The sequence below is a fragment of the Homo sapiens genome, chromosome 7 (genome assembly GCF_000001405.40).
Source record: "Homo sapiens chromosome 7, GRCh38.p14 Primary Assembly".
In the NCBI taxonomy this organism is placed as follows: domain Eukaryota; kingdom Metazoa; phylum Chordata; class Mammalia; order Primates; family Hominidae; genus Homo; species Homo sapiens.
In genome coordinates, this window is record NC_000007.14 from 51,021,239 (window position 1) to 51,042,285 (window position 21,047).

Genomic DNA, 21,047 nt, shown 5'->3' on the forward strand with positions numbered 1-21,047 from the left:
ACACTGCACGCACTGGGAGCCCCTGAATTTATTGTATTTTCCTCAAGGTTAACATAGCTTTTAACATTTTACTTTTTTAAAAAAATTTCTTTTATTATTTTTTAAAGAGAAAGGATCTTGCTTTGTCACCCAGGCTGATGCAAGCTCAGTGGTATGATCATAGCTCACTACAGCCTTGAACTCCTGAGCTCAAACAATCCTCCTACCTTCACCTCCCAAGGAGCTGGGACTACAGGCCCGTGCCACCACACCTGGCTCATTTCTGTATTGTAGAGATGGGGGTCTTGTTATGTTGCCCAGACTGGTCTCAAACTCCTGGCCTCAAGCAATCCTCTTGCCTCAGCCTCCCAAAGTGTTAGGATTACAGCTGTGAGCCACTATGCCCAGCCAGCATAGCTTTAAAAGTCCAAAAGGTGAAATAAAACTAAATCATAAGAGGCAAAGTCCATATAATTTGATGTTCGCATGCCATAATATACACGAAAGTGTATTTGCTATGAAGACAATATAACCTCCAGGATCCATGCATAGCAGAAAAGTGCCATCTAACCAGGCTTATTAGAAAAATTGTAATTCATTTCCCAAATCGCAAATGTCTCCTGTGACCACAGGTCTACTCTCAACACAAATGAGTAGACAGGGCAAACTTCTAGGAAATGCAGTTGGTTAATGCCTTCAAAAGAATGAATCATTGGTCCAGGTGAGGCCACCTTGGCCCCCTGCACCTGAGTCTCCCTGATGAATGCTGAACAGAGGCCAGGAGGGCAGGTCGATCACCCAATTCCTGCCCTCCTAGGGCAGGCTTTCTTCAGATTTGTTGTGGTTCTGTGATAAAGCGTCAAGTGTAGGAAGGCTCTGGGATCACCGGGCATGGTAGTGATAATGAGACTGAGGGGAACGTGGTTTCCAACGTAGGACTCAGCCAAGGAACTCAGGGCCCAGCTTTCAGCCCGGGAGCATCTTGTAAACGGCTCGGGGCATCAAAACCTCAGAAATGCCACATAAATATTAATTGCCTAGAACTTTCCAGGGTGGATAAGGCAGGCCACACGACTCAGACTAATCCAAGAAACAATCAAAACCTGGACTTTTGAATGCCCTTTGAAGCAGCTGACAGATGGCTGAGACTGTGCGAGAAACACAAGCCCGGCTCCCGCCCTGGCTAGCACTTTACAGCCACGGTGACCTTTCCTCCAAGCATGCCTGGGCCTCGCACGGCACCAACGCCCACGGCTTCATCCAGGCCCGGCCTCTCTCTCTCCGTGGCCTGTGCATTTCTCCCCACTTTCTTTCTCACAGCACAACTTCCTCTGTTCTTTCGGGCTAGTCAAAACTTATTTTTTTTTTCCTTTCTGTAAGGCAGAGGAACGCATTCTCAGAAGCCAAAAGTCCCAATGTTATTATCTCCTCCGCTTGCTGGTTGTGGACCTCGGGCCAGCTTTCAGCATCTCTGGGCCCCAGGCCCTTCATGACTCTGCACAAGATGGAGAGGGTAAAAGAAAAAGATACAGAAACCAGTCACTGAGATGACTTTTATAAAGCAGTGAGTACAGAGTGTGGTCATGGCCTTCACAGGATCCCAGTCGGTGCAATTCAAAATGCATGAAAGGCTCAAATGAGATAGACAATCGTCTCCAACCTTAATGTAAAGTCACTTGGATAGCAATGGAAAATTGCAGATTCATAGGCTGAAAAATGTGATTCAAGATACAGATGTCCTATGGACCTACATTGAGAAACAGCTTTAGAATCTCAGAAATGTACCCTGGGATCAGTAGAGTGACAGAGCTGATCCCAATCGCACTGCTTCAGACTCCTCCAGAGAGCCTTCCGATGATCAGCCCTTGAAATCGGTGGCTGTCATGTGTGTGGGGCAGACAGGATGCCTCGGAGCTGCACTTCAAGAGCCATCTTCAACAGAATTTGTGCTCATTTTTATGACCCCTATTTAGCCATTCACCCCAATTTCTTCACTTTTCCCTCATTTTACATAAGTACACACATTCATCAACACATAAATTCCACAGGAATAAAAAAGCATAAAGAAAACCAAAGAGCCTTAAGTAATTTCTAATTGCCCCTATCCTGAGGAGATGGCATAAAACTTGCCATATCCCTTGCCATCTGGGTAAGGAGACTTTTCTCCCCAGCATCCATGGGTGGGCTGTGCATTCAATGATGACTGGCTAGCATCTTTGCTGGCTGATGTCTCAGGGCCACATCACACAGCTATGAATGCCCCACCCTCACACTGGGACAAGCTCTGGGGAGCTGACCCAAGAGCCATCACAAATGGCCCCTGGGGAGCTCAGAGAGCCACCGAATCAGTGGGCGCTCAGGCTGTTCTTGCACAGGGCAACAAAGTTGTGACCTCTGGGTGTCCACAGGGACTCATCCCTCCAGGCAGTGCCTTTCACAGCAAGGCTGCCGGCCGGGTGTGGGGCCTCCTCCATTCTCAGTGCCCCGAGGCTTCTGAGTGGGAGATCTGGAGAGCTGTCTCCCTTCTCCATTGTGCCAGCAGTCCTACATGAGAGTAGCTTACCCAGCGTCTCCTGGGTTACCTGCTCTCTACGGAGCACACAGCTTGTGACCTGGGGATGAGCACTTCTTGTGCCCAAACTGATCCGTGTCTAAGTCCAGGCCCTGTGTGACCAAGCCAAGCGACTCACTCCTCTGAGCCTGGCCCACTTTATATAGAAAGTGAGGATAATCTTTAGCACCGAATGCTTGGGTACAAGTGAAAACATAAGCTTAGGATCTGGAAATAATCACTCAGAAAATAAAATCTTTGCCGGGCGCAGTGGCTCACGCCTGTAATCCCAGCACTTTGGGAGGCCGAGACAGGCGGATCATGAGGTCAGGAGATCGAGACCATCCTGGCTAACACAGTGAAACTCCATCTCGACTAAAACCACAAAAAATTAGCCGGGCGTGGTGGCGGGCGCCTGTAGTCCCAGCTACTCAGGAGGCTGAGGCAGGAGAATGGCATGAACCCGGGAGGCGGAGCTTGCAGTGAGCCGAGATCGCGTCACTGCACTCCAACCTGGGCGACAGAGTGAGACTCCGTCTCAGATAAATAAATAAATAAATAAATAAAATAATAAAATAAAATAAAATCTTTTTCCAACCTCCCAATTATTAGCATAACTCCCCACACCCACTAGGAATGGGCAGGGACGGAGGGTCAATCCATTACTGAATCATGTCAGAATTGAAACACGTCTCAGAAGCCATCTGGCCCAAGCAGCCCTTTAATCTAGGAATTCCATTGCAGGGGCCAGGTGGGCAGTAATGTGCAGACCAGCACAAGACCAAAATGGAGAAGCCGGGGAAATCCAGAAAGTGCATGCTCTGCCCAAGGGACTTCAGATTCCGTAACTGTCCAACATTAGGCTGGAATGCAAGCATGTACGAGTGAATGAATGAATGAATGAATGAATGAATGAATGAATGAATAAGACTGGCGGCTTCCGTGCCAGCTGAGGGCCATGAGTTTGTGATGTGTGCTCTGTGGGGCCCCAAATGGATGATCTTCCATCCTCTCCATGGACCAGTAGAAACTGTGGGTTAGGGTGGAACTGAGCTTGGGTTACAGTGGGGTTTAGATTCCACCTGTCATCATCACCAAGGAGCTGAGGACTGGAGCTGGCACCTACCATGCAGGAGGCTGACTTTCTCACCTGTGGACTGGAGCCTTCATCTGCCACTCTGGTCAGCACATGTGAGAGACACAGTGACGCCGGCTCTCTCTCAACCCACTCCCATGTGACCGCCTCGCAGCTCCTGCCCACAGGCAAGCGTGTCCCTGGATCTACGCTGCACCTCCAACCCTCTGGCCCCATTGAAATGCGCACACACAGTCGCCATCACCTTTCTCAGTCTCGCAGCCCCTGTGCCGGAGCGGATGGCGTCCATCAAGGCTTGCCTTGCGTCTGCGGTGTTGCTGAGGGTGCCCGTGCTGAACCTGGAGGCCGTCCTTGGTGCAGAGAGAGCCTGGGAGGGTGGAGGGGGTGGTGGGGGAATGGCTGGTGGGGACAGAAGACCAAGGTCTTCTAGCAGAGGACTTTCCGAGCCCTGAGCAGAGAGTGCGGCATCTCGGAAGCTCTGGAGCTCCTCAGAAGCAGAGGATGCCACCTGGCAATGAGATGATTAAATGACTGCTATAGAGTGAATGTCTCCCAAAATTCAGCTGTGAAATCCCAACGCCCAAGGTAGTGGCATGAGGAGATGAGGATTGGGGGTGACTAGGTCATGAGGTGGAGCCCTCATGAATGGGATTAGTGCTCTTATACAAAAAAGGCTCCAGGGAGCTCTCTCACCTCTGCTACTATATGAGGATGCAGAGAGAAGGCACTGTCTATGAACCAGAATGTGGGCCCTCACAAGATACTGAATCTGCTGGTGCCTTGATCTTAGACTTTGAGCATCCAGAACTGTGAGCAATAAAATTCTGTCATTTACAAGCCACCCAGTCTGTCAGATTCTGGTATAGCAGCCCAAACAGACTAAGGCAGTGACACTGTCCCCAAAGGTTCTGAGAGAGCAGCACACAGCTGATTATCTTACCCCTGGACCTGAGACAGTTCTTTTGCAATAAGCCCAGGAAGTTTGTCCACTCCACGGCCGAGACATCTGCCCCCATGCTCTGTTGGCAGCCAAGTAACTGATCCCAGAGACTAGAAGTTGGCAGTCCTGCCTTACTGAGAACTCTCTGACCTCATGACTTTTCTTGGCATATAAGAATAGACATAGAGGCTGGACACATACATCCAACCCATTACTGGGGGCAAGACATGCAGTCAGAACCTAATGAGTAATGTACAAATCACATTGCTCCTCAATTTCTGTGCATGGAAACTAAGATGAGACCATTCTGCCCTAAACTCGAGTCCATACTGGCTCCCAAGGATGTGCAAAAACCAGCGCTATATTCATGCAACAACTTTTTTCCAGGTGTGCAATGGCTTCAGTTCTGGTTGTCCAGTTAGTGAAGCCTGGAAACCACCCTAGGTGTCCAAGTGAATTTGGAAAAGTGCTCAGTTCTAGGCACAGGAAGGAACTGTGCTTCAGCAAAGGCTGAGAGAGTGTCTGGAAGCTCTTGCTGCTCCTTGCCATGGCTGCCCCAGGCTCTTGGAGCAGGGTGTCCACCCCAGTGTCTCACACAGGCTGGGATGGCCACTCTAAAGACAGATGGTTCACCATCCAATCGGAAGGACAGAAGCTTCTGCAGCCACCACCCAAGTGCCTCGGAAGAAGGGGTGGGTGGGTTTGAGCTCCTGGCGCCATGGAAGGCCCTTCACCTCTTACCTTCCTCAGGCTGCAGGTGCCGCTGTGCCCGCGGATAGCTGCCAGCAGTGCAGATCGTTCGCCCTCTGCCTCCGTGTAGGACAGTTTCGCTGGCCTGCCCTCCCCGGTGTGTTCTGCCGTCTAGAATATTAACAGTGTCACACATTTCACTGAGAACATGGAGAAATGTGAACTGTAATGCAGCTCATGAGAAAACCCACTCATGGGCCAGGCACGGTGGCTCATGCCTGTAATCCCATCTACTCGGGAGGCTGTGGCACCAGAATTGTTTGAACCCGGGAGGCAGAGGTTGCAGTGAGCCAAGATTGTGCCACTGTACTCCAGCCTGGGCCACAGAGTGAGTCTCCGTCTCAGGAAAAAAAAAGAAAGAAAATCCACTCATGTCAGCCGAGGCCTATAGGGTCAGTTTTACACCCTGTCTATGAGAAGGCACACATAAGAATCAAAGGCTACGTAGTTTCAAACTGCCTCTTAATGGCAGACCACTCCTGCTATTCATCCCAGTGTTCCAGAGCCGATGTGTGTGTTTACATCTTGCAGACCCAGAAGAGAATCCATGGCCCCCACTAACTAGTGCCTGACCTTGGACGAGGCCCCTTGGCCTCACTGTGCCTCAGTTTCATCTGCAAAATGGAAGAAATATCTCATTATTAGCATTGGTGTAGCATGCAAATGAGATAATACTTGTGGTGTGTTAAGTGCCTAGACAATGGGCAAGGCGTGTCCTACAATTACTCCTGTGTTACTGAAGAATGACAGTTCGCTGCTGCTACAAATGCATATGGGAAAGAAGTGGCCCTGCCTGAATTTTCTCCTCTGTTCCATTGTTCAAGGATAACCATATGGATGGGCCTGCCCCTGGCCTCTCCATTCCTCTGGCCCTGTGGATGGACATCACTGGCTGTTACCTTTCCCACAGGGCAGCCAGGGGCCTGAAGTCAGTGTGGACTAGCCTCACACCCATCCATTTTGTCCCTTTAATAGTTCAGTACAAATATCTGGAGGCAGTATGATGGGAATTCTAGTTAAAATGAAACCTGTGTGGTAAGCCTCACTGTTATCCTAATCCCGTCTCTCTCTCTCCTCCGCTTTATTCTGAGACTCTGAGACCAGTGCACTGAAGTGGGCAGGTGTGGAAGGCCTGCCCCGGAAGCCGCCATCCTCACCTTGCGTAGTCTGTCCTTCCCTCCCGCAGAGTGGATGGCTTCCATCAGGGCAGAGTGCAGGGATGTGTCTTTTGGGACTGGTCTCTGGACAACAGGTTTGAATTTTTTCTTCGGCCCAAAAATGCTGGGTGGCCAAATACTGTCTGTTTCATTTCCATCTGTAGAGAACACACTGGGCTTTTCCTCTCTTTCTAGGAGAATGTGGCTTTCTGTGCCAGACCCTCCTGGAGGGTGGGAAGGCTCGCCGTGGCCTGGGGCGCGCACAGAGCCATTGACCAGCTCCCTGCTGCAGGCCTGAGTGTCAGATGTGTGTGGAGGGGGTGGGTCTGTACCATCAGGTGCGCGTCTGGGCTCAGATGCTGAGCTGGCCTCCTGGCTACTTGTGCTTTGCTTTCCACTGAAACCACAGCTCTGTCCCACAGAAACACGATCCCTCTGGGAAGACTGAACCAGTGAGAAACAGGAGCTTCTGTGGATAGCAGCAGGTCTGTCCTGAGTAGACAACTTCCTGTGTGGGCCAATGACCTCCCCCCTAGGAGGGGCTCCCACTGCCAAATCTTCCCCGTGGTTGTTGGGAGGAGTGACACAGGGCCACTGGGCACCATCCTTCCATCCTTGTGTCTCTGAGTGTGGGCTGGATGTCCTGTCATCTTTCACAGTGACAGGTGGTGCAGCCAGCACTGGCGCCTTGCCTGCATAACCCTTCTCGGCATAACCGTGTGGCCTCACCACATCAGCATGGACTTTTGGGGCTCCTATGCGCTTGGCAATGGCAGAGGCCACATACTGGCTGGACGTTCTTCTCTGAGGCTTGAGAAATGTGACTTCTGTGGTGTGAGCTGCTGGCACCCTCACGTGACCCATGCCCATGGTGGGGGGCTGGTTTCTCCCCTCCCCTAGGGGGTTCCGGCCCTCATGGTGGGCAGACTTCTGCTGGGGCGATATTGGCTTGGGGTCTGCTTGGAGTCTGCTCTCTGGATTCTGCGTCTGCGTGGGCACAGGGGTGGAGGGGGGTCCCCTGGCAGAGCTCTCTGAGGGTCGGCCCAGGTGTTTTTCCACAGAGTTGCACCTCCAGAACTCTCTGACTTTCCCAATGGGCTGAGATTCTGCTTCAGGCACAGACGAAGACAGGGAAATGATCCTGATGCCGGTGGCGTGAGGACTCACCAAGTTCCCCAGCTCGTCAATCTTAATGGCTCCGGTGGAGAGGGACACATCTCTGTCGTAACATCGCATCTCTGACTTTGGAGGAATGATTTTATACGTTGTGAGGCCGTGCTTAAGTCTGTAGCTTTTCCCTGGGTTTTGGCCTCGTTGGTGCCATGATGTTGGTGCCAAGGCAGCGTTTTTATCGTTGCTGTCCTTTTCATTCACCGGTTGGGAATTCACTCTCTCTGTGGCTTGAGTCCTCTCCCCGTCAGCACAGCCATACACTTTGTCTTTCACTTTTGCATTTAGGTTGTCTGTGTGAAGATTCGAAGCAAAAGAAGTCACCCTGGGCGCCGTTTCCATTAGATTCCCATCTTTAGAGATGTTAGATAAGGCCACACGGATTCCTTTTCCGACGTCATGGGAAGCGGGGTGCAGGGCAGGTACTTCCTCCCTTGCCTTTTCATGGGGCTGGCTGTGCTCAGCTTGAAGTGGCGCCAGGGAGTCTCTCCTGCTGGCAACACCCTCCGAGTCGAAAGACCCAGCATTGTTGTTTCTATTGGAAAACAACCCCGAATCCACAGGATCATCTGAAACTTCCCCTATGAATGTTACTGGGATTGCATCTGTGTCGCCGTGAGGGATCATGGCATCCTGTGGGCAGTGGTTGGATGCACCATGGATGGAGCTGGTGAGGGAGCTGGTGTCTGTTTCATAGCTGTCTTCCATTTCTGCAAAGAGGGACAAACACAAATCACAGATGTTTCCCACACCAATTACTTAGTGTAACTGCAGCCATGACTTTGATTTCCCTGAGGTTACTTTTGAATACATTATTTATATACGTTTTAAAATGTTATTTGGGTTTGTAATCTACATAATATGCCTGGGGCCAGAAGCTCAACTTTCATTACTCAACACAGCTGTTTGCAGATCCATGATGTTTCAAGGCAAGGTATTCAGTTACAATGTGCTGCCAACATCCTTCACTTAAAAAACTGATTTGTAGATCCAAGCCTCTGGAAAAACTGTCTCAACACAGAAACATGAAAATGAGTTTTGGGTTTTGACCTCCATGTTTCTCATGTCCACTAGAAGCACAACAAAATCCAGAGGACCACGGGCTGTAGCTTTAACTTCTTAAGGAAGCAGATGACTAAATCTTGAGTATCTCAGAATTACCATGGCTCTTCCAAGCACCAAATTATGCAATGGTCATGGGGTCAGAACCTGCGGGACACACTATGGCTGATTCAAATTTTTAGCTCTGTCAACTATACATTCTCAGGACAGGAAACTGAAAAGTGAGTCAGACAAAAACTACTCGTCAGTTTTGCAGTCTGTTATCTTCTCTCTAAGGCATGATAAATATCTAATTTTTAGTTTATTTTCAACATGTGCATTGGAGAAAATAACATAGCTGCTTTGTTTGAAAGATTCCCTAGCTGTTTACTGCAACTATTTGCCATCTGCTTTGGCCTTCCAGTATTATTTCCCCAAAATATATCAATATAATAGCAGTGCCATGAGATGCTCCATTATAAATGGCTTCATTGTGGTCAAAAGGCTGAGTATTTCTCATTGACAGATATGCCATATATCAACAAATTAAGAGAAGTCTTAATGAGGAAATCTGTTTATTTTTTGCGCCACCCTTTTTATTCTTTAACATGTGTGGCATACTTTTTTAATGCACTGAATTAGTATTATTCAGAGCACACTGTAAGCAGTTGTCTGGATGTTTCCAGGTACTGCTTGGCAGCCCAGATAAAAAGCAGTCTACCGGAAACCTGTGTGCGCCTCACATCCAGACTTTCACCAAACTGACCTGGAATTCCTTCTGAAGGCTGTTTCCTCACATAGATACATCAAAGTATGCTCAGAGGAAGTTACTGTTGGCACCTACTTTCATGCAGCATAATATCAGAGTAGCGGATCAGGTGGTTCTTACCTTCCAGGTCTTCATCAAGTTCTGCAAGGGTTTTACGGAACTCTCCAGCAATTAATAGGTCTTCTTCATCATTTGAGGCTGTGACAGCTTTTTCAGTTCTAGGGAAGACCAAAGAGAAAGGAGCACTCATTTCTCTTACTATTGATTTAATGTACTCCTTTCCAGGAATATCTGAGGATAGAACAGCTCATACTCAAATTCAAGCAGTCACATACTCACTGTACTGCTGTTGTCCTCAGAACTACGGAGACGCAGATTGTTCATGGGTGTGTGTGTCCCCCATGTGTGTGCACAGGTATGTGTGGGATGCGTGTAGCGTGTGTGCATGTGTGGAGTATATGTCTTGTATGTGGTGGACATGTGATATATGGTGTGTGTGTGGGGCCCCAAAGTGTTACAGTAACCAAACCACACACAGCTTTCATTCACTCTGCAGACTGAAGTCAAAGTTTTAATTCCACCGCACAAAAGACGGTTCACGTGATCCAGGATTTGCTTGCATCTGTGCCTTGCGCTACAGCAGTCCCCTGCACCTGGCACCTGGCAAGAAGGAGTGAAGCCATCTGGAGGCCAAGCATGTGCACGTGGCTGGAGGCTGGTCCACCTCACCTCAACACTGCACAGCCCGGCTGTTCCTTGGCACTTGCGGATTTGAGTGCAGCGTCGTTCAAGGTCCCAGTGATAAAGGCTACATACCTCTGGTGCAGGATCTGCCTGCTGTTAGGAGGTCCGTGGGGAGGGTTGTGCAGGGCTGCATGGGGGAGTGTTCCCAGAAGTCCCACCAACTTCATAAGCTCAGCCTCCATCTGTGTCCACCCTAGCAGTAGCCCACCCTGCCAGACTCAGAAAACGAGAAATTTCACTCCTCTACTATAAATGACTTTTACAGACTCTATGTTTACTTTGGCTTAATTCCTACCCTTGGTGGGTGACAGGGAGCCTGATAATGCCACTTGCAGGGGCAGGGCTTGGGGGCCTGATAATGCCACTTGAAGAGCTGTACTCCCTAGAATCTTGAACTGGGACATAAGGACAATAAGGATGGCCAAAAAACCTCACAGCAACAGTAGCAGGAGTAACTGCTCCACCCTTGACTCCGCAAGACCCTTCCCAAGGGCCTCCTCTCAGACTTAACAGGAGGAAGCTCCTAGCAGTGTGAGGCCTGTCTGCATGCCTTTGTGCCAGCCCCCGCACAGAGCTCTTTTGCATAAATTATCTTATTATAACCCTCACAGTTTTTCAGGCAGGTAGTGTTGTTGTCACTGTTGTACAGTGATGAAACTATGTACGGAGAGACTACAGAGCTGCCCAGGTCACACTGGCATCTGGAACCAGGCCTGCCTGCCCCCAAAGCCCAAGAAGGACCAGCTGCATCTGGGGCCACAACACATAATAATGTGGCCCCTGTGGCACGGGGCATCCAGGAAGATGTCAACCCGTCTGCTCAGAGAGCGGGATCTGGCTTCATTTGCGTCACAGGGACAATGGCATCTGTGAGACAACTGCTGCCAAAACAATTTAAAAACTGTCTTTGCAAGGGCTCTTGCCTCTATTTTCCTATTGTGCAGAAAACACAGAGACATGTCTATGGCAATTGTCTATCTTCAGTGAAAGCTGAAGGTTTGTTTTCCGCTGATTGTTAAAAATTGAGGACCAATTTCCATCACTGCTAATCAGGCCCAGATAATGATGCATGAAATAAGCTTTGCACAATCCTCACGTAGCAAAGTTTTTATTCTGATAAATGAGTCTTTCTGATTTGGTGACTATGTCCATTTGGGAGCCAGGAAGTGGCTTCCAGATTAGTCTCAGCTAATGTCCTCTGACAAGCTACACAAAGGGGGCTGGTTGGAGATGTGTGTGCATGTGGACCCATTAATAAGGACCACAAGAGGTGCATGACTGTCTTCCCTATTGCTTTTGCCATGGACTTTAATTATTTGAATGCACTTTACTAAAGTTCTGCTTTTCTCTTTCATGGAATGAGATGGTTTAAATACATTTAAATTTTTAATAAAATATATGGCAGAGAAAAATGGAAATTGCCATATAAAAGAGCAATCTGAAATGGAAAAGAGATTTAAATACTTGGAAAGATGGAAAACTTTTTAAATGCTTGCTCTTAGTTTAGGATGCTTAAAGCCCAGCCAAACAAAATTACAGACATACTTTTACTTCAAAGTATTTGCCTTTATTTTAAAGTATGCTTGATCACGTCACTATGAGACATGGAACATAATGATATCAATAAGAATTAAAAAAAATAATAAGATAAAAACTCCACTGATTCTACCATTTTGCAAAATAGCAAAACAAAACAAAACAAAACAAAAACCCACCCCAAGCTGATGAAGATGTGATGAATCTGACAGACCCACACTTGTTGCTACAGGTTTTAATTGGAAAGCAATGTGGAAATACATATCAAAAAACACACAAACAAAAATCACGTTATCTTTGTAAGAACTTTGGCCCATTAATCTCTTTTTTAATAATCTGCTTTAAGGAAACCCTATAGAAGGAAAAATATAAATACAACAAAGTTCATGTAAGAATTCTAGAAATGTCCAGCACTAGGCAGTTACCTAAATTATTACATATATATTTCAAAGGGCATTAAAATCAGTAAATATGATGATCATTAAGTCTATGTAGAAACACACATCCATGCTTATGTTAGCATGTTATGTGAAGAAATCAGCACACACATATATAGAAACACTGTGATGATTTAAAAATAGCAAATACCTTTGGACAAGGCGGAGACAGAAATCTAACAAGAAACCAACCAGCATGACTTAAGGAAAAGGATGAATTAGGATGAATATTTTACCCTTTTTCTTTAGAACTGTGCTTGGTTGAGTTCAAAGCAGCTTGAGTGACAGAGCAAATTTTTAGCCAGCAAAATTTAAAAGGATAATTTTGTCCTTTAGTGAACAAGAATTCTTTCCTGCAAAGGAGTCTGCATTCTTCTTACACTGCACACAGTAAGCACTTTATTTTGTTACTGAGTGCCTAGCAATCTTAGTGCGTGGCTGTCAGCCTGAAACTGTAACAGAGAGGCTGTACAAGGTCTGAACAGTCTCAGCCCTTCAACACCTTCCTCCTCCCAGGCTCCGGGCTCCCTGCCCTCTAGAAACAGCAGGAGCCCAGCTCCAGGCGCTTGGGGCTGCTTCTGAGCTGGTTTCTCCCCTATCCACCAGTTACAGCTGCCTTTCTGGAGTCTGGGGACCCTGTGCTCAGCCCTAGTCCTTCATCCCTGTGTTTTTTCCTGTCCAGCTCCCTCCCACCACTGGCCTCACTTGGCACTCTATAGAGGTTGCCCCGGACGCTGCTGCTTGGTTCCAGGCAATGCTGGTACCTCTGCATCCCACCTCTGCTCCAGCTTTGCTCCCCCACACTTCAGTGTGGGGCTGGCTCCTTGGGGCCCTGCTTGCCCTGAAAGAAAGAGTGGACATGAGCTAGGAGCTCCCAGCCTGTGTGCACCGTGGAGTGAGGGAAGGTCTGGCCACCACGCAGCCCAGGACCTTGTTTGGTGTTCCTCCTGAGGCTGCCAAGCTCCTGGCATCTCTGAGAGAGGAAAGAGGAGCAGCCTGCTCTTCTTTTGATGCAAAACAGGGCGGCTGTGTTCTGAGCATGTATGAATGGATTATCTAGCAAAAGCCAGAGCCAATGGCAATGTAGTGATTTTACTTTCCAGTGTAAGAAAGCAGGAGGGAGAGACAGCAGTATTTTCCTTCCTTACTAACTCCCATCTACTTCTCTCCAAAGGGTTACTAATGGATTATAAACATTCCTCTCTCTTTGCAAAACCACCAGATTTATGCCCTTAGTCACTGGGCTTGGAGGCCAGTTCCCTGTGGGCTTAGCAGGGGAGCCCTAGGTATGTGTCCCTGAAGAGTTAGCAGTCAGCAAGAAACATCAGCCTCTGTTAGCTTAAAGTAAACCTGCCCAGATGTTTTTCTCCCGGGCTTCCTTCCCCCCCACCAACACATACCTCAATCTTTAGAAACGTTCCTTATTGACAGTTTGTTCTGGCTTAAGATCAAGGAAATAAATGCAAACAAACACAGGGAAGACATTTTGATATCAGGCTGCATGTGTTGAATAAGTATTGCAGTTATTTTCTCACACGGAGTTGGGGACTCTGCAGGGAATGTGAATGTTTAGGCTACTGGGGCATGCAATATGAGGGACACAGCTCAGCACCGGCAAGTTTCAAACCAGAGTCTGCCCAGGAAGTGGACCTGCGTCCTTGGGCCCAGCCTCTTGGGATGGTCGGAGGGTGGCAGGCTGACCGATCCACCCAGCCGGGTGTGTGCAGGGCTTGCTGAGCCTCTGCATTCATACCCCAGCCTCCAGCAAAAACGAGAACTAGGGACAGTCAAATTCAGTTAGTGCCAGGAGCCAAAAGCGCTTTTTGATTTGTTGTTTTCATTTGCTATGAGGGAGAATGGGCTGAATCTGACCAATCCGAAATGTACAAGATGGGTTCATAGCACATGAGGTCACTTTTTCTTTTTGATGAGGCTAGTACAGTGGCAGAATTAATGAAAAAAAAAAAAAGTCTGAGAGGAGAGAGATGTTGCTTTTAGGTAGCAATCCAATTTGCTAATGACAACCAAACCAACTCCTGTGATTTCAAAGTGATTACTTGATTAACTAAAGGCAAGAAGCCTGGGAAAATATGCAGTTGATGATAGTCGTATGTGCTTAACCTCCCCCTTCCATTTGTAAATGTTCCTGTATTAGCAAAGCTTCAGAGTCCTAGAACAATGGTGCCCAATATAACATGAGCCACATGTATAATTTAAAATATTTTTATAATAACATTGAAAATGTATAAAGAAATAGGTAGAATTTTAATAAAACAATTTAGTGATTTCTGCCAATAATTAATATAAAATTATTTCTTTCTGTACCAGATTTGATGTATATTTTACACTTAACAGCACATGTCAATTTGGACCAGACACTTGGCAAGCGCTCGGCAGCCACACACATACTGGACGGTGCAGCTCTCCAAGGTCTCACATGTGTTTTAAACACTCCTTTGTAAATGCAGTCACAAAGTTTCAGAGTTCTAGAAGCGGTCTGGAATGTAGAAAATGTTTCTCAATGATTCCGCAGTCACAAAGTTCTTATGCAATCCTCTCTCTGTATCTGAGGAAAGGGGGATTGGTTCCAGGATCCCCCATAGATACCAAATTCTGCGGATGCTCAACTCCTTTGTATAAAATGGCATAGTAGCTGGGTGCGGTGGCTCACGCCTGTAATCCTAGCACTTTGGGAGGCCAAGGTGGGCAGATCACTTGAGGTCAGGAGTTTGAGACCAGCCTGGCCAACAGGGCGAAACCCCATCTCTACTAAAAATACAAAAATTAGCATGGTGGCGTGTGCCTGTAATCCCAGCTACTCAGGAGGCTGAGGCAGGAAAATCGCCTGAACCCAGGAGGGGGAGGATGCAGTGAGCCAAGATCGCACCACTGCACTACAGCCTGGGTGACAGAGTGAGACTCCGTCTCAAAAAAAAAAAAAAAAAAAAAAAAAAAAAAGCATAGTATTTGCATATAATCTATGCACTCTTACACAGTCATGAGCTGCATACTCATCTTTCAGTCAACAATGAAGTTTCAAGGTTCTAGGTGGTGCCAAATGTTTCTAAATGCTCCTGTGTCACAAAGTTTCTGCAGTCAGCAGGTTTCAGAGGTTGGCTGGTGTGATCTGGGTCCCTCTGCACCTCTCACTACAGGCCCTCAGTCCCATAAGGATCCTCATAGCCACAAGCCTGCAGGTAACAGCACAGCTCCTCACAAAGTGCTTCTGCAGCCATCATCCCCAGCAGGCACCAACAAGTGGGGGCTGAGAAGGAAATGTACAGGCTGCCAGGCTGAAATGGGACATCGGGCACTCCAGGGAGGCTCCCTTCAACTGGAGAAGCTACACTCTCTACCTTTGGTGGCTCTGCATATGATTTCAGTTTGGCCTTACTGTTAAAAAAGAAAAAGCCTGACACCCACTTATTCGATCTCTCTCTTTTACTTCTCACAGCATTCCTGTGGAATTGATGTTCCCAAAAGGAACCCTAGAACTCAGATTTTCACAATAATTATACACAGTTAGATATTGCCTGGTTATAGCAAGGTTGCTTTCAGAATTCAAGAGTTTATAATCAGTGCTAGTTCCACTGTTCCTTCCCTGCAGGTAGGAGGAGATACAGTCTCCTCTACTTCCCCATCCATCTCTCTCTCTCTGTCTCTCTCTCTCTTATATACACATACATGCACATATACGCATGCACACATATATATGTGTCTATTTATCTATTTTTCAAACATGTTATAAATAAAGAGGAAGATGATCAGAGCTAGATACAAGTTACAAAGATTACCTAGCAAATCAAATTTCTCCCCTTCCTCAGTCAGTTGTACATAACAATACCAGCAACAATAACACCAGCTACCAATTGTTGAAGGCTAGCAATGTATCAGGCACTATTGTAAGGAGGAGGTAGTGCATATCTCAATTTTACTGACCAGGAAATTGAACCAAGAGGTGAAGTCACTGGGCACACCACTGCCAGCCATGGGCAGTTCCTTCCCTAAGCAGTCTAAATGCAGACTCTTCAATCTTCAGATTAAGTGATTCTTTAACTATTAGGAGCATTGGCTGGGGTCATATGTAAGGGACAGATGCCTTTCGGAAGAGTCTGTGAGTCCATGAAGTCCAGGGCAGAGCTGTGTGTGAGGCACACAGGACCTTCCCTGAGGGCCATGCCCAGGTGTCCCCAGAATGAAATGCAACCACCACATGCACATTTCTATTATTCCTGTTCAGATCTTGGGCTGAGCTCTTCCTTAGGAGTTTCTTCACTGGCTGTACTATGTTGAGAGGAAGACTCTGGGACTCTGATGTTCCCTTTACAAGGTCAAATTTCAACTGAGATTTATTCTGCAGTGAAAAATTATAATCGGATACCATCACATGACTGGATGAAAACATACGCTTTTCAAATTGCAGCAGCACATATAACATATTCTAATAATTATTATTTTTTGAGATGGAGTTTTACTCTTGTCACCCAGGCTGGAGTGCAGTGGTGTGATCTCAGCTCACTGCAACCTCTGCCTCCTGGGTTCAAGTGATTCTCCTGCCTCAGCCTCCCTAGTAGCTGGGATTACAGGCGCCCAACAGCACGCCTGGCTATTTTTTGTAATTTTAGTAGAGATGGGGTTTCACTGCGTTGGCCAGGCTGGTCTTGAACTCCTGACCTTAGGTGATCCACCTGCCTCGGCCTCTCAAAGTGCTGGGAGTACAGGCGTGAGCCCAACGTGTAACATATTCTAATTATTACCAAGCATTCACACTTGCTCTTCTTAGAAGCATGGTATTCTTGAGACTCTTCAATTTAATGCCTTGGCTCCAAGGACACCGAATGGAGCCCACCAATGCTGCCATGTATGAAGCAGGTGCTGCAGCAGCAGCGAGGCCAGTCGAACCTCTAAATACAACTGCACACAACCCAAGCAGTGAAGATGCCACTGGGCCAGGACAGTTTTTAGCTGTGGCCAGCCCAACATGGCTCTCTCCTTGGACAGGTGGCAGAGCTCTTGAGGAAATGGTGTTTGCCTCCAGCTTGTCAATGTGTGAACCCAGGCATCCCTAGCCAAAGGAGTCTAGATGATTTTGACCTTCATAGGGTGCAGGGAAAGGAGAAATAGCTAAGAAAACTAGAACATAGCGAGGTAGACCTTACACACTTGGGTCTTTCCAGGTGATGAAGGGTCTTAAGGCTGTTCCCAAACCGTGTTTAGTGAATACCCAAGTAACAGAGGGGTAGCAATAGAAGACACCACCTTGGCCAAGTTGATAAACTATGAGAAATCCTCATTTTCTTGATGACTGGGACTACTGCAGAGACTTTCTGCAAGCTGAAGATGTCTGGGGCTATCAGGGACAGCTTCACAACCTATCCAACTCCACTCTCAGCCTAGAGGCCTGGCCTTGCCAGCCAGACAGAGGGTGACTTCTGCTTTGCCTGAGCCCCAAGGCCTGTCATTCAGAGGGGATGGAGAGGGCTCATGTCACAGCTAGGTCCTACATCTTTGTCGTTTGCCATGTAAGACAAACACGGGTTCTGGGAGCACAAATGGGCAGCTCAGGATGAGTTGTGGAAACCAGGTATAGGGGGTCATCCAGGGTAGGGCCAGGAGGCTCGACTCAGGGACCAGGCACAGGGCACCAGGAACGGTGATCATGCCCTCTCTGGGCAGCCTCCTCTTGATCAAGGTGGTGTTGGGTATATGTTTCAGGGGCACAATGAAAGAGGAGCTTGAGGTGCCAACTAGGGACGCTCTGCCAGGCTTTTGCTCACACTGCCTGTCAGAAAACCTCCTCTTTGCTATTGTTTCTCTCAACCGCCAGAGTCTGAACATGGATGCTGCTGTTTAGTGTTCTAATAGGGTTCCTCTGTGCAGGTGGCCAAGGTTAGGGCCACATCCCTGTGAACAGTGGTGGGTTCTGCGCTCTCACAAGTTCACCTTGAGTCTGGGCTGTCAGCCCCCAGGCATGGGTCCTCACTGTAGGGATCGTGACCACCTGACAGGCCTGCTCCATCGGGCCACACCTGAGTTCTGCTGCCTGGGCAGCTCCCTGCCAGCCCTGCCTTTACCACCCCTGTGCTGCCTAGGCTTTCGACAGGGTTCACTCCAGATGTGAATGCCAAGCCTGTCCCTGGAACACACTATTTTCATCAAAAGAGGCAGATTCTCTCTACGTTCCCAACCTTATGTGTGAATCGATATTTTTCAAGCAATATAGCACAGGGAATACTTCAGTAGCGACAAGTGTATTCCAAAGCTGACAAATAGGCAAGCAAAGTAATCTTGTTTCTCCCAAAGAGAAGTGCAACAATCGATGCAGCCTTCAGTCCTCAGGAGGGTGTAAGTCTGGGAACAGGCCACATCCAGCTTGCATATGTGTTCCGTTTCACCCTGAGTGCCTGAATTGGTTGCCAACATTTACAATTTGAGAGACATCACATAAAAATCTAGATTTCTGGCTTCTCTTCAAAAACTGGCCACACTGGGTCTGTAACCCACAGGGTGACAGTTGGACAGAGGGAGCAGGGCTGCTCTCTTTAGAGAAAGCATGTGTTTTCCACACTGCCTGTGATCTCTCACCAGCTGAGCCTCCCTCAACCTCGCCTAACCCCTGCCTTACCCCTAAAGCATCCATATTTGCAACCCCTGCATTGCATGGGAGGCACTGCTTTTAAGTAATCCTGAAATTTATTGAAAATCATGTATTTGGGAAAAAATGTGATATACCATGCTGAAATCTCTGAATATGTCTAATTTGTCAGTTGAGATAATTTCTGTTAAAAAAAAAAAAAAAACCTCAAAATGGTGCCCAAAAAACTAGATTCATTCTATGAAATCCCCCCTCCCCTCAAAAACACACACACACACACACAAAACTATAGTAATTCCATGCAAGGGCAGAGTCAATCCCAACTCTTTGGCAAATAACCCAGCATCACAGACAGGGCTGAGGGACTCAAAGAGCATCTTCATCCTCATCTGACTGATGAGCTGACCACATCCCAGTGAAGGAAAGTGATTGTCCAGGGCAATTCATGGTGCCCCCATTTCCTAAAAACTAAGGGCAGTAGTTCTGACAATGGGTACTACTTATTATATATGCAACATGCATGGTATCATCTGTGCTGGGCTTTTCCCAGGCTCATGACAACTCTGATAGATAGGTGGCATATCTGCACTGTGTATGATCAAAAGGTAATGTTTGGCAAAATTAAGTGGACTCTTAAAGGCCAAACAGCTAGTTAGTGGTGGTAAGATTCCATTGTAGGTCTATCAGGTTCCCGAACTCCCTCCCTCCCCACCACAGTACTCTCAAATTCAGTGGCACCCCAGAGATGAGGGCAGGAAAACACGCCATATTCCCTGTTTGCATAAAGCATCAGGTTCCAAAGACTCAATGATTATTCTGGCTGTGGCCATAGTCAATATTAACCCTCATTATTTGGATAGAAATCAGCAAGATTTTACATCAACGGTCAGCACCAGCAAAGCAAACAATGAGTCCTATGCGCAGCATCCCGCGGGGTGCAGAGTAACGCATGTCTGATTAGTTTCAGATGTGGAATGCAAACCTGTGCAATCCCCATGCAAACTGCAGAACAGACGTGGAGATTACAGTAGAAAGTGGTTTTTCTTTATGTTAAATGACTAAAAGGAAAAATGCCATAATTTTGCTCTGTTCTCACAGATGTAAACAACACAGGCCAACCTCAGCAAAATGCATCTTGTGTGGGGTAGGCAGGAAGGAACCAGTTGCTGCCTTTGAATTTCCTTTCTGATGAAATATAAACTTGGTCTTGGAGTCATCCTAAGAATTGAAGAGCTATACTTTAACATTATTAGGGATGTGTATAACAACATGGGGAAGTGCTCATGACAAACTGTTAGGTACAAAGAAATATAAAGTATTATTGATAAGACAATTACACTAACCAGATACAGATTTGTGAGTTCATATGAATAGGGTTGGAACAAAACCTGAAAAATATATTATAAAAGCATTCATTCATTTTGGTGACTGGCTTATGAACTATTTCTTTAAATCAGTTTACCTTATTTCTTTCCTTTTTTTTTTTTTTTTTTTTTTTGAGACAGAGTCTCACTCTGTCACCCAGGCAGGAATGCAATGGCGCGATCTCGGTTCACTGCAACCTCTGCCTCCAGTGTTCAAGCGATTCTCTTGCCTCAGCCTCCCAAGCAGCTGGGACTACAGGCAAGTGCCACCACACCCAGCCAATTTTTGTATTTTTAGTAGAGATGAGGTTTCACCATGTTGGCCAGGCAGGTCTTGAACTCCTGACCTCAGGTGATCCGCCCACCTGAGCCTCCCAAAGTGCTGGGATTATAGGCTTGAGCCGCTGCACCCAGCCCATTTTACCTTATTTCTGTTAACATTTCCATAATATTTATTTGATGAGTTCTTACACTTATCTAAAAGACGAAAAACATTGGCGGGCTGAAGAGAATCAATATGCCTTTCTATATAATAAAGAAAGGAATCCTGACAGTGTGGTGTTGGTACAGAGATGGACAAATACACCAGTGCTACAAAAAGAGCACTGGAACAGAACAACGTGCACATGGACACTTGATGTCTGACCATAGTGGGGACAGGAATCAGTGGGAAAAAATAGATCCTTCTTCATATCACACCCAAAAATAAACCCCAGGTACAAGAGGGCCCAAATGTGAGAGAGCAGTTTTACAAGAAATTCAGACTATCTTTAGTCTTTTAGGGTACGGGAAGGATCTCTTAAATAGGCAAAGATTATATACATCTGAGAGAAAAAGGAAAAATTAAATAATATTAGAATGTAAAGACAATCATTGTACAAGAAAAGAAAACATTAATTAAGTTCAAGCCACAGGCTT

At 47.0% G+C, this 21,047-nt stretch overlaps 1 protein-coding gene across 21 annotated transcripts in view; it reads right to left on the bottom strand.

Moving 5' to 3' along the window:
* COBL (cordon-bleu WH2 repeat protein) overlaps window positions 1-21,047 on the bottom strand; it is a 300,598-nt gene that overhangs the window by 5,027 nt on the left and 274,524 nt on the right. For 9 of the 21 annotated variants that reach the window (NM_015198.5, XM_005271751.1, XM_047420077.1 and 6 more), the window contains 4 exons: window positions 9,574-9,671; window positions 6,474-8,353; window positions 5,308-5,427; window positions 3,871-4,134 (listed from right to left, as the gene is read on the bottom strand). In NM_015198.5, the coding sequence (NP_056013.2) occupies window positions 3,871-4,134; window positions 5,308-5,427; window positions 6,474-8,353; window positions 9,574-9,671 (2,362 nt within the window). The remainder of the gene's footprint in view (window positions 1-3,870; window positions 4,135-5,307; window positions 5,428-6,473; window positions 8,354-9,573; window positions 9,672-21,047) is intronic. The other 12 variants (NM_001346442.2, NM_001287436.3, XM_011515240.1 and 9 more) reach the window with 2 other exon arrangements.